At 49.6% G+C, this 13,701-nt stretch overlaps 1 protein-coding gene across 1 annotated transcript in view; it reads left to right on the top strand.

Annotated features, from left to right (window-relative positions):
* The window catches only part of GRID1 (glutamate ionotropic receptor delta type subunit 1), a 767,244-nt gene that overhangs the window by 216,546 nt on the left and 536,997 nt on the right, over nt 1-13,701 (top strand). Inside the window, exon 4 of the mRNA NM_017551.3 lies at nt 11,226-11,431. Within this exon, the coding sequence (NP_060021.1) occupies nt 11,226-11,431 (206 nt within the window). The remainder of the gene's footprint in view (nt 1-11,225; nt 11,432-13,701) is intronic.

Raw genomic sequence — 13,701 nt, 5'->3', positions numbered from 1 at the left:
GGGCTGGAGGCGAGCCTCTCACTGGGCGACTTCAGCTGGGGTCTTGCTCCTGCCCCGAGAGGCCTGTTGATGCAGGAAAGAAGCTTGTGGGGAAATGCCATGCCAATTCCTCATCCTGAAAAAATGGCATCAAAGCAGCAGGACTCTGAAAACCATCCCTGCAAATCATAGAGGAAGAACTGCTAAAATCATTACCAAATACCTCGTAAGTGAAAGGTGACAGGAAAATCAAACTTTATTTGTGAAAATTCTAAAAATCATTAGCATATTATGGATTCCTTAAAAATATGATCTCACTTAGCTGATGGAAGGGAATTGCAAATCAAAGGGACTATTTATTGCAGTGGGAACAAGGGACCTGCCAGATTAAAAGAAAATATTGAAGGAGCCAGAGATTTGAAACATGAAAGACAGTAGCAGATAAACACCGCGGAATTTTATCCAAATACTGGAACCCAACTTGGAACAGAAGTTGGTGAAGAATTATTTTATAAACCCATTTTCATCATAACATGTGTAAAATGCAAATCTTGATAATTATGTAAATTAGTTACTTGGCATAATTTACTTAATTCAAAGCACTTAATGCAGCGTGGTGTGTTTTTTCGAAAGTGCCAGAGTAGACGTTTATTTTAAATTGTTTTTAATCTCGATCTTCCAGCCTGATTATTTAAAATGTTTTTCCCTGTGTTTGTTTTTTAAATGGAAAGGAGTAGAGCTTGGTGGGAAATTGGAATGTGGTGGGATTAGCCGAAGCCTTCCATTGTTAGTGCCCCAGGCAGGGGGTGTGGGTACGGCTCATTCAAGGTCCCTGTGTCTGAAACAGCACATGTGTGAACACACCATGTGAACGTGCCCATACGGAGTCATCCAGACCACCCATTCCCTTTCCTGAATCTGCTCTTATGTGGTTCTGTGGCTGGTTCTGAAACCTGTCTGAGCAGAAGGCTCCTGGGTACTATCAGCCCTTATTAGAGGCAGAAACTTGTTTCCCCTCTCAAAGAGTTTTCAATGACAGACCTTCCCCTTCAAGCCACTTTACAACTTTGGAATTTCCATTATCACAGAAGGGAGAGATGACCTTTTTAGTTTTCTATTGTGTCACCCGATTGTCAGGATGGCACCTCCCTTCTTGATGAGACTCTAGAACAAGAGAGATGATTTGCTCATTTGAGAGCCCTTTTGGGGGCGTTCCCTGTGCTGTTGAGAAGGTTGGAAGGGAGCTGACAGCCGCTGAACATCTATTTTGCACTGTGCCAGCTGTGATGTATGCCCCTTGCTGAAGGATCTAAGGTCTCCTAGGAGGAAGGTGGGGTTGGCTCTGCTTTGCAGGTGAGGAAATAGGCTCAGAGAGGTGGTTGTCCAGGATCACCCAGATAGTGAACCCAGGCTTGTGCTTATTCTGTGCACCCCTGGGGGAGCAGGGCAGTGGGGCTGCTTCTCCGTGCCTTTTCCTAATCTCTGAATCTCAGACTACCATGGAAGATAGTGTTTTCCTTTTTTTTTGACAAGTAAAAGTTGTATTTTTTTTGTGGTATACAACATGTTTTGATGTATGCATACATTGTGGAATGGCTAACTCAAGGTAATCAACATATGCATTATCTCACATGCTTATTTTTTTGTGGTGAGAACACTTAAAATCGAGTCTGTTATGAATTTTCGAATATGCAATATATTGTTATTAACTATAGTCAACATTTATACAATAGATCACTTGAACTTATCCTCTTGTCTAATTGAAATTTCACCTCCTTTGACCAGCATCTCCCCAGTCCCCTAACTCCCCAGCTTCTGGTAACCACCTTTCTATTCTCTATTTCTGAGTTCAACTTTTTCACATTCCACTTATAAGTGAGATCATGCAGTATTTGTCTTTCTAGGTTTGGTTTGTTTCACTTAGCATAATCTGCTCCAGGCTCATGCACATTGTTGCAAATGACAGGATTTCCTTCTTTTCAAAGGCTGAAGAGCATTCCATTGTGCATGTACACCACGTTTTCTTCATCCATCCATCGGCTGGTGACCACCAAGGCTGATTCCCTGTCTTGGCTATTGCAGAGTGCTGCAAGGAGTATGGGAGTTTTAATACAGGCTTTATTATGATTTAGGTATGGCAAGGCCAATAGATTAGGAGATGACTACCATTGAAAAGACTGTTTGTTATACTTGCAGATTCCCAGAGAAGAGGGCCTGCCTTGCCAGCAGGTCCCACAGGGAGGCAGAAAGGAGGAGGGGGGAAACTATGGTCAAGAGTCGGCTGTGCTTTCCATGGGGAGGAACAGGTGAGGCAGAGTAGGTGGGCTTAGGATTGGCTGGTGGGAGTAAGCCCAGTGGGCTCTGGGGCATAGAGGTGTCCTTGGTTGTCTGGTACCTGGCCCTGGGGTGATTAGGACAAGTATATAGTGGCCCTGAGTGTGAGATCCCAATATAAAATGTGGTCGGGGTTCTGGGCTCTGGATTGGTTGGTTTGCAGATAAAAGGCATGCTCTGGAGCAAGTTGTTTACTAACGCAGGGAGAGACAGGCCCTCCAGGGTAAGTGAGGCCCCAGATGTCAAAGCATCAAAAGGTAAAAGATATAAGGAAGGTGTCCAGTTTTAGTCTTCTGCATATGGCTAGCCAGTTACCCCAGCTCCACTTAGTGAATAGGGAGTCCTTTCCCCATTGCTTGTTTTTGTCAGCTTTGTTGAAGATCAGATGGTTGTATGTGTGCAGCTTTATTTCTGGGCCCTCTTTTCTGTTCCATTGGTTTATGTGTCTATTTTTGTACCAGCACCATGCTGTTTTGGTTACTGTAGCGTTATAGTATAGTTTGAAGTCAAGTATGTGATGCCTCCAGCGTTGTTCTTTTTGCTTAGGATTGTCTTGGTTCTTCTGGCTTTTTTGGTTCCATATGGTACACTCTGAAACTAAAACAAAAGTTAAATAAAATAAATAAGTACGTATCTTTGGAAAAATGATATGGTTAATACAGAGGGTAGAGCTTTTTGTGGTGAGGGATGGGATGTCACTCTGGAGGACCTCAGGGCCAGGCCTGCCATGACTGTTGTCTGGGGAGCTGGGATTGTGATGGGGACAGGAGAGCCCTCCCTCCCAGACAAGACGCTCTCAGATGAGACCTTGGGCAAGTAGACTTAGAGCAGTAGCCCTTTGCTGCTGAATCTGGCAGGACACCATCATTCTACTCACCTGAATGCAGCCCTTGCCTAGGCTCTGGGGGACCTTGTCACCCTATGATGGGGGAGGCCTGCTTCCAATTTTACCAACAGCTGCTGGATGTGCCATACCTTTGCTGAATTGCCCCTGGGCCTGCTTGGTGCCCCGCTGACTTCCACAGAGAGTCGCCTGCATGGATCGATTGCAGGGACTTCATTTATTTATGAAGTACTGTCTGCAAATGGAACACATTCTGGCAATAGGAGGTACTCAGTAAGTGGCAGAAGGGAGCCACTCCTTTCTTCAGGGTCAGCGTCAGTCTTACCCTCAGGACCCAGAGCTCCTCCAGGACAGGGCTGTGAAGTTTTAAAATTCTGCTGCTCTGGAACCAAGCATAGGGCCTGGCCCAGGACAGTGTTCAGGAAATATATGAGGAAGGAAGGAAGAGGGCGGGAAGGGAGGAAGAGGAAATGCATAGCTGAGAAGCTGAGGTGTGAGGTGTGGGGAGGTGAGGCTCCAGATGGATTCCAGCGGGCAGAGGGCAAGGGTATCCCTGTGATTGGAGCCACAGCAGGTAGTTCTTTGGGTTCCCTTGGAAATGGCAGACGCTGCTGCCATCATACCTGCTCCGCTTGCAACAACTATGGTGACATTAGGAGCTGGTGGTGGGAGGGGAATGTGCAATGAAAGAGAGGAGGCTGGGTAGGGCTCTTAGAAATGAATTTGAATTATGGGTAAAGTACATCTGGGAAGAAATTCAAAGCATATCTTTGGGGGCTCAGGTAAGAAAGAAGTAAAAATAAAAAGTCTATGGAATCAAAGTTGTGTCTCAGCCTTTGGAAAATTTGCCAATAATCCAAAAACACTTTTAACTGTGAATTTCTTCTGCGTGTGAGGTGGCAGCCTTCATGTATATATATGTACATTACAGATGGTAAAATATTCTCTATAAGTACTCTCAGTGCCTGGGCCTTTCTCAGAAATTGAAAATAGTAGGGGAAGCAATTTGAAATGTCTTCTTTCGCTTCAATTACTTTTCAGAAAGAAAGTATTAAAAATACCCAGTGACTATCTGATTTTTTTCAGAGGGAGTGGAGGGATAGTCACAATTATAACCTTAGATTTTGAAAAAATTATTTCCCCAACTTCAGTTCCTTACCAAGTAGGGCTTTGCCTCCACCGGCTACGTGGTCATCGTGTGGCTGCTGAAGTCACGCCGGGCTTCAGGCAGGTTCCCGCTGTGGTTCAACTTGATTCCATAAACTTTTACTGTTTCTGACTCTGTTCTAGGCACCAAGCCTTGGGGTTTGATAAAGAACACAAATGAGGAAGGCCTAGCTCCTGTTACCCATATATTATGATTTAACGTTATTAATATTGTTTAATATTATTAAATTTGAAGGGGGCATGAATTTCAACTTGAGGACCTGAGATGGCCTCAGAGGGGAAGTTTGAACTGGGTCTTGATGGAGGAGTAGGGCTCTGTAAATTTCAAATTGGGAGCATCCCAGTGGAGGGAGGGTGTGTGTGTGTGTGTGTGTGTGTATGTGGAGGATGTCCAGGAGTGGGCAAAGAGCTTCTTTTTCTGGATCCCAAGGTACATGGTTTGAGGAGGACGTGGTGGAGGCAGGTGATGAATGTAAAAACAAATAGAAAATGCTGTTAGGCATGGTGAAACCCCTTCTCTACAAAAAATACAAAAATGAGCCGGGCGTGGTGGCGGGTGTCTGTAATCCCAGCTACTCCGGAGGCTGAGGCAAGAGAATCACTTGAACCTGGGAGGTGGAGGTTTCAGTGAGCTGAGATCATGCCACTGCATTCCAGCCTGGGCAACAAGAGCGAGACTCTGTCTCAAAAAAATGCTGTTAGGACCACAGTCTCTTAGGTACCCAAAATGTCTGGAGTCTATTTTGTGCACAATAATGAAGTCTCTAGAAGACTTTTTGTTTGCAACTTGATTGACTGATGCTTTTGAGGATATTAATTTCTTGGCAACTGTTACATAAATTGTGTTATTTGTTGAAGGTTTAGAGGAGGGCTGTATTGTGAGCAGATATGATCTCAAGAGAGAACATTCTTGTGGAATGTATTAGAGGGCAGATGCTAGGGTCAGGGGACCCTGCAGGACACTGTTGCATGAGTCCTAGGGAGGAGGTGATAGTGCTGAACCTGAGAAGGGAGAGTGGAACTCGGGAAATGTTTAGGAGGAGAAGTTGAAAGGCCTCCGCCAGTCCAGGATGTGGGCTTCCTTAGCACATGTGTGGTGATGCTGTTCTCAGACACGTGAGAACAGACATGGCAGGTGGTACCAGGGGGAAACCTAGGACTAGTGGGAGTGTGACCGGGAGCGTGTGAAGGAGGAGAAGGGGAGCGGGTGGGAGCAGAGGGGCATATGATTGTGCCTGCAAGCCCAGGGGGAGAGGGCATTAGGCAGGACTGCAGGCTGGATGCTGGAGAACCGTGGAAGACAAAGACCGAGGAGGGCCCTTGTTTGTTGATGACTGGCAGGAGCTTTAGAGCAGAGTCATGGAGGCTGATGCAGGGGGAGAGGGCGAGCGGCCGGGATGTACCGGGCAAGCAGGGCCAGGTGTCAGAAAGCTGGTGTGGAGGCGGGGAGGGACCTGTGTCCTCTCCTCCCCATGGATGGTCCCTGGTGCCCACTGACCCTCAGCTTCCTTTCCTGGCAGTTCCACAGTCCAGCCTTGTCATGGGGCGAGCAAGGATCTTCTTCATTTGATGTCAAAGATGCATCATTCTGGAACTTTCTGTGTGCTGTTCCCCTCTCCTGGAATGTTCTTCCTAGGGGTTTCCAGAGCTGCTTCTCCTCACCGAGGCAGGGTCTTTCCTATCCCACCCTGAAGTCCCCTCCCATCCAGCATTTATTTTCTTTGGGGCTCTTCTCACTGTTGGAAATTATCTCCTTGTCTATCCTGCTATTGATTTGTTCTGGCTTGTTCTCAGCCTCTGAAATGTTAAGTTCTGCGATAAAGAACCCCAGGGGTTCATTCAGTTTTGTTTTCCTGTACCCGGGGAGAGACAGACACAGAGTGCTCAGTGAGTACTAGGGGAAGAAGGAACGGGTGGGTGCTGGCAGGACTCCGGCAGGCTTGGGTATTGAGAAGGCCTGGTGATGGGGCCCCTGAGAGCCCAAAGAGGGTGCAGTGAGGCTGGCAGGCAGAGAGGCGATGTCAAGGCCTGACCTGGGCACCGTCACCTTGCATTCCTTGCAGGAGTGGACTGGCCCATGCACCCCGAGCTGCCTCCTTTCTCTAAGGCGCAGGACTCCTCTCTAGGGAGCTCCTCCCTGTCCCTGCAGTGTCCAGTGGCCTTTTCCAGAGTCCATGCCTCTCCTGGGTGCCTGGAGACCTGGTGGCTCTTGCCTTTCTCATGCCCTTTCTGGATCAGGTTGATGCGAGGCCTGACAAGGCCTCAGTCAGCAAACTTCCCCAGGGGCAGGTGGAGGTGCGTGTGGTTGGTGGAAGCTGCATTGGTGATGGTGGATGGGGCTGGCCAGTGTGTACAGGGAGCTTGCTGGGGAGGCCCTGGGACAAAGTCCAGAGCTCTGTGGGAGCCAAGGGATTCTGGGGAAGGGGCACTAACTGTGTGGCCCAGTGGGGGAAGTCCCAGCTCTGTTCATTGTCTACCTGCTTGGGGAGTTCTCTCTGTGTGAGCAGCAGCAGCAGACAGTCAGGTTTTTTGGGGGGATGGGGTAGGGTGGGATTACAAATTTGGTTTCTTGAAGGGAGAAAAGGACTTTGCGGGAGAAGTGGGGTTCCGTGGCCCCATTCCTGGAGAGTGGCAGGAGGGCTGCAGCATGGGCTTGGGCTCCTCACTGTTACTCTGCCTCCAGCCCCACCCCAAGTGCAGCTGGACAGAAGCTTCAGGGAAAGGAGGCTGAGAGTTGACCTTGTCAGCCAACTGGAGCAGGCAGTGGTAGCCAGGGGCTGCTGTCCCTCAGGAACACTGGCTTCAGCCAGCATCACTGATTTCAGGTGTGAGGAGCCACCGCTGGCAAGGAGCATAAACTGTCTCTGATGGATCGTAAACCCTCAGTCCCATTAGGGGCTGCTGGAATAGAAGCCAGAAATGCAGCAGTGGGAGGTGCAGAGGAGCTCTGAGGGCTTATGTCCTCCCGTTTGCATGTTCTTGTGTACTCATGGGTGCCAAGACAGTTGCTACTTGCCCATGGCATCTCCTATTCCCTGAAGAAATAAAACCGTCCTGTGGGTTGAGATGGTTTTAGGTAGAGGGAGCTCAGGGAAGGGACTGAAGGAGACTTTTCCCCCAGACTGAGAGGACTGGCCATGCTGGCATGAGGCATAAGGTCCCTGGGGCCACATGGGTGTCCCTACCATACTCATGGACTCATGCAAGCCCTCATGGTACACATGCTTATGTAAACGTGCAGAAAGGTGTGCTCTGTAGACATGGCCAGTCTCTGCCATTTTAAAGACTTGCAGTGGCCTTAGAAGGTGCTGCAAGGAGCAGAAGCTTGTAAATGACAGGTCTCAGGGTCCCACCTTTATGCCCATCCTGCAGCTGTGCTCGGATCTGTGTCACAGTCAAGGCCATGGGCAGTGAGGACCACTGGTGTTCTAAGGAAGAGGCAGGGCTGCAGAAGCCACCTGTGCACATGTGGCCTTGCCCTGGGGCTGACTAGCACTCAGCCCCGTGTGGACAGTGCCACAGGTAAGCTGTGACAGGGCAGTTTTTTAAGGTAAAGGCATTGCTTTTTCACTTAACGTTTTCATAAGCTATACCAGATACAATGCATCCAATGACCTCGATCTATCACTTTGTTATTGCTGGGAAACAAACCGTCCCAAAACTTAGAACAGCAGTCATTTATTATTTTTTATGAGTCTATAGGTCAACTGGGCAGTTCTGCTCTGGGCTCGCTTGTGCATCTGAGTTCAGCTGGCTTGCAGCTGGGGATGGCTGCCTGGGTGCCTGCCTGACTCTCCCCTATGTGTCCCCACATTCCTCCAGCAGCTGGCCTGGAGATGTTCTCATGGTGGTGGCATGGTTCAAGAGTGGAAATGGAAATGCACAAACACTTTTTCAACCTCTGTTTGCGTCAAGTTTACTACTGTCCCATAGTCAAAGCGGGTCACTTGGCTGAGGCCGGAGCTGGAGCTGGAGCTAGAGGAGTCCTCACAGTGACAGAACAAAAAGCCTGGGATTAGGAGCCTTTGCCAGGGGCCTGAAGGCAGCCAGTCTCCCATATTTAGGAATATCGTTTACACCACACTGGTTAAAGGCGGTTTCTCCAGGCAGTACCAGGCAATAGGACTTTCTGTGATGATCCATCTCATATGAGCTATATCTGTGCTGTCCAACATGGTAGCCACCAGCCAGATGTGGCTGTTGAGTACTTGAAATGTAGCTAGTGCACCTGAGGAGCTGAGCATGTAATTGTGTTTCTCTTCAATTAATTGACGTTTTAATGGCCATATATGGCTAGAGGTTGTGTTATGTACAGCCTAGATCCAGGGAGAAACCCTCATTGGCACCCGTGGAAGGCTGTTATGTGCCCAGCACAGCTGCCCACTGCTGGTTTTGGTGTGGGTGGCCGCTGGGTGCTGAGATGTCCTCCAGCTGATGATGGACAGATTTGCATTGTGCTGTGCTCCAGAGAGGGCAGGACTGGGGCTGATACCAGTGCTGGTGTTTCTGGTTGGGGCTCCTGAGCCATCTCTGCACACTTGCCCTGCTACTCCCTCTGATTGGTTAAGAAGAGGTCTTTATCTTCTTCACCTTTTCTTTCAAGAAGCTTGGGAGCTACAGATCCCCATGGCCCTGAACAGACTGATGGAGACTGAGTTGCCTCTCTGGGAACCCCAAGGGTGTTGACAGCCTGGGGCTTGTGTGTTGGGGGCCTGGAGCACTGGGGCAGGTGTAAGGCACCATATTGTCCTCAGTTGGCTACCTTTCTTCACTTTGGGGGAGCCCTGTGCTGGCCACTTCATCTCGGCCCTGGGGCTGGCTCTCCTTCCTGTCTGACACAGTGGGCAGAGCAACACCGAGACCCTTGTTCTTTGTGAAGCCAGTGGGTTTGGTCACATGGCTGTGCTCCAGGGACCAGGCTGCTGATGGACAAGGGGCTGGCTGAGGTCATGGTTGGGTGATCATGCATTTGCCATCTCTAGAGAGCCCCCAGGGTTCTCATTTGTATGCTGCTGTGCCCTCCCCATGCACCAACAGGAGGTGGGCTCCCCGTACTCCCAGGTGCAGGCTCCTGAGACACAAGCAGGTGGCCTGCACAGGAAGTGTGGTTCTTCAGAGTCCCAGGAAAATGGTAGTTGGTGATTTTCACCCCATTTTACAGACAGCCCCTCAGGCTCAAAAGGGATAGTGATTTGCCTGAGGGCTTCAGAGACTGTACTGAGTCCTAAGTGTCGGAGTTCGTGGCAGGTGCTGAGGCCCTAGTCTAGGGCTTTCCCTTTGTAGTGGTAAGGGGGGCCCTGTGCACAGCCCCCAGCACCCTCATTACGATGGCCATGGTGCTCTGCTCTTCTCCCTCGCGCTGCTTGGTTCCCCATGATGGCTCCTGTCACACAGTCCAGCTGGGACTACGCTTAGTGGTGAGCCTGTCCTCTTGGCACAACAGGGAGCCTGGGACTCCTGCAGCAGCTTGCATGGCACTTGGCATGAGTGTATACCAGAAAGTTTGCAAAATTAGTACAGAGAGAGTTTTGGAGAGGGACAGGTTAGGAACAAACCCTGGTGGAACTAACACTGTTTATTTGGATTTTGTTCTTGGTGACTGCATGGGCCAGGCCGTGCCTGTGGGCATCCCAGGGCATGGGGACAGTGCAGCTTGTGGGTCTGGGCAGACCTAGAGTATCCTTTGGAGGGTGTGACTCAGGCACGGCTCTTGCTTATGGGAGGTGGAATGCAAGGATGGGCCAGACACAAGAAACATCCAAGGCTGTGAAAAAATGGCCTGTGGATTGAGACTCTGGGCTGCACGTGACCCACCTTAGGCAAACAAAGGCATTCACTGGCTCATGGAACTGGAAAGTTCGGGAGAAACAGGCTTCAGCCTCACATGCACCCAGGGGCTGAAAATGACATTGTCAGGACCGTGTCTCACTCTCAGACCCGCCTGCCTCTGTTCCTGGGCATGTCTCTTTTTGGGAAAGCCAAATGGCTTCTACAAGGCTGCTGCTAAGAGATGATTTTGGCACTGGATGAAAAAACTTTAGCACCCTCAGGCCTCACAAGGATAGATTTGTAGCAGTGTGCAGTGCAACTATATTGGCTTCCAGGTCCCTTCTTGTTGAATCGTCCATCCCTGGGTGGTTTGTGCCGACAGACCTCTCTCCCAGTGATCACCAACGTGCCAGGATGGGCTCTCTCTGTACCTCCTTGAACCCCCTGCTCATCCCTGATCCAGTCAGGATGTGGGCTTCTGACTGGACTTGGAGTGAGAGTCACTCCAGCTGGAAACAGGCAGGAGGAATGTTTTATCAAGGAAAATCAGGTCCCTAAAGCCAGACAGGGTCCCATGCCTCAGGGCTGGGGTGCCATGATGCAGGCTGGGGTGCCATGATACAGGCTGTGCGTTGGCAGGATTGGTGCAGGGACTGAGGGCTTGCACTGCCTATCTGCTGAGGCCAGGCCCGCTCCAGTCAGGGGCCTCAGCTGGCCATGGTTGGTCTAGGAGCCTCATGTTGGGAGCAGAGGGAGGTGAAGGGGACTGGGGATGCTAGGGCCAGGGACTGCCAGCAAATGTGACCTGAAGGCCAGAATTGCCGTGATTGGGCCCATATAGGGAAAGAAAGAGAGCTTGTCATGAATCAAGGGCACTTTCTGGCCATAGAACCTGTTGGATGGCATCCAACCTGTAGGGGGAGACAGTCAGCCAGGGCTGGACACTGGTGAACGCTGCTGGGTCTACGCCGGCGTCCTCCAACCTCTGTTTACGGGAATCACTGAGGCTGACTTGGACCCTCATTTTTCGTGGTGGCCTGCATGGGTGGAACGTGTTGCAGTTAGACACCCTCCCGGGTGCATTCCCACTTAAAGATGATTTTTCTTTTCCTCCTCTTCTCTCACTGCTCAGATATCCGTGGGCTTCAAAGCTTTCTGGACCAGGCCTCGCGGCTGGGCCTTGACGTCTCTTTACAAAAGGTGGACAAGAACATTAGCCACGTATTCACCAGCCTCTTCACCACGATGAAGACAGAGGAGCTGAATCGCTACCGGGACACGCTTCGCCGCGCCATCCTGCTGCTCAGCCCACAGGGAGCCCACTCCTTCATCAACGAGGTAGGTCATGGGGGCCTGAGGCCTCAGGGGCCTGGTGCCCAGGGCTCTGCAGAAGATGGTTCAGGTGGGCTGCAGGGCACAGTCGTCTTACGCATGGCCTAAACGGACATGGAGACCCGTAGGTGCTCGGCCCACAGCACTCAGCCTGTAAGGGGGGATTCTCTGAGCACTACTTGGCTCCTGATAGTTCCCTGACAGGTGAGTCAAGGCCTGCCCAGCCTCTGAAGAGCTGTGGGGAGGCTGGTGGAAGCCTGTTTACAAGTCACTGACAGAGATTTCTGAGGCAAGACTCAGCCCTTTTTTTTTTCTTTTTAATTTTCCTCTCTTTGTTGACAGGTGTAAGCCTCTAGGGATAAAATAAATTTCCAGCTTTCTGCAGAGGTGGGTAGGTCTGCCTTGGGATTTCTTAGCACCTGGAGGAGGTGTCTTTGCCTATCGTTGAAGGATACATTAGATGTTCTTATTTTTTTGGCACTTGGGCTAATAATCAGTGTGAATTTCTTTTAAAAACATCTCTGTTCGAGGTTGGAGCCTTCTAATGAAGACAGGGCCCATCAGTTTAAGAATCCATTGGTTAGTAAAGAATCCATTCATTTGTAAAGAATCCATTAATTTGAGAAGAAACTAGAAATAACCTATGAGTTGGCTGATTGGCGCTGGCCCAGGTAGTCTAATGGCAGAGAGGTGAGAGGCTGGAGTTGGCAGGTCTCCCTCTGGCCTGGGTTGGTTTTGGGGGGTGAGCTGGGGATGTGGTATGCCTGGGAGCAGAGGCAGATTGAACAGGTCACAGGGTGGCCAAGGGCTCCCTGCAGATTCTCCAGACAACCCCAGTCACCTTGTTGGCCCTCTCTGATTGAAAGTAAACTGAAGTGAAACATGACATTATACTAATTCCATTTGATGTACTTTGCTTGCTTATTCTGCTTTTCCTTCTAATTAATTATTACTCAGAATGCTACCTCATGCATCAGGAGCCAGCCCAAAGCCCACTGCTGGGGAACTTAAAATTTGGAATGCTTAATGTGGTACAACTGGCCGGCAGCCCTGATGCTCTCTGCTAATCAGGCCCCGAATCACGCCGGTGGTCCGCCAGGCTGTGATGTCCTGTCGGCTCCCGGCATTTTCACCAGAACATGTTGCCCTGTATGAAGTGATTCAGTCCAGTAATGGACAGCCTGGGATTAGCAGCACTAACATGTCCATTCTTTCTCAGAATATACCCAGCTGTGTGTTTGCAAAAGTCTGCTCAGGGGATGGCTCTTCTTGCAGTATTTCCCCAGCTGGATTCTGTACTGGTGATGGTATCGACTAATCTCATCGCTGGCCCCCTCCCTTCTTGCTTCTTGCCAATTCCTTGCCCGTTCCCCTTGCTTCCTTTCCTTCTTGCTCTGCTGTGAAGCTTGGGGGTGGAAAGACTATTGGCTTTGGAGTTGAATGGATGTGGGGGCAAGTCCCAGCTCCTTGACTTATTATTTGTGTGACCTTGGGCCATTTGCATCACCGTCTTAGCCTCTGTTTCTTCATCTGTTAAAAGGGATGAAGGAGACAGCTATGATAAAGCATTTAGCATATAGCTTTTCAAGAAGCATCTGTTTTCTTTTCACTGCACATATTCATGCATTTTCGTTCTAGAGGATTTTAGCCCCTTCCTGTTTCTAGCCCTGTGAGGATTTAACACATAACTAAGACTGGCCTAAGGATGTTATTGCCAAGTGGTTAATTATGCAAACGCCTGCAGTGGTGGATTCGCTGGGCTTGCTTTGTCCTGCTTGCATTGCTGGGTGTGATGGGAATGGGGAAGGCTCTGGGGTGGCCACTTTTTTTTTTGTCAGACCATTATTTTATTTTTAAATTTCAACTTTTATTTTAGGTACAGGGGGTACATGTGCAGATTTGTTACATGGGAATCTTGTGTGATGCTGAGGTTTAGAGTACGGATCCCATCACCTAGGTGGTGAGAATAGTATCCAATAGGTCATTTCTAAATCCCCCACCCTCTAGTATTCTACAGTTTCTTTTGCTGGACTCTTAACGTCAGTCAAGTCCCTGGGATTGTTGGCAGGAGATTGAGGGGAACGATGGCATTTGGACTTTGGGCCAACAGCTCCCACCGTAGTCTTCAGTCTCCGCCGATGATAAGAGTCTTGATCCCTGTTCTCATGCGCCTGTCATTAGTAGGGAGGAAGCTGAGGTTTCTTGGGTGCCCACGATGGCTCTGGCCCTTTGTGCATTCTCTAATCCTCACACTTTGCAGACAGAGGAAATGGAAA

This window comes from Homo sapiens, chromosome 10, assembly GCF_000001405.40.
Source record: "Homo sapiens chromosome 10, GRCh38.p14 Primary Assembly".
Lineage (NCBI taxonomy): Eukaryota > Metazoa > Chordata > Mammalia > Primates > Hominidae > Homo > Homo sapiens.
This window is presented reverse-complemented; position numbering and strand designations above follow the sequence as displayed.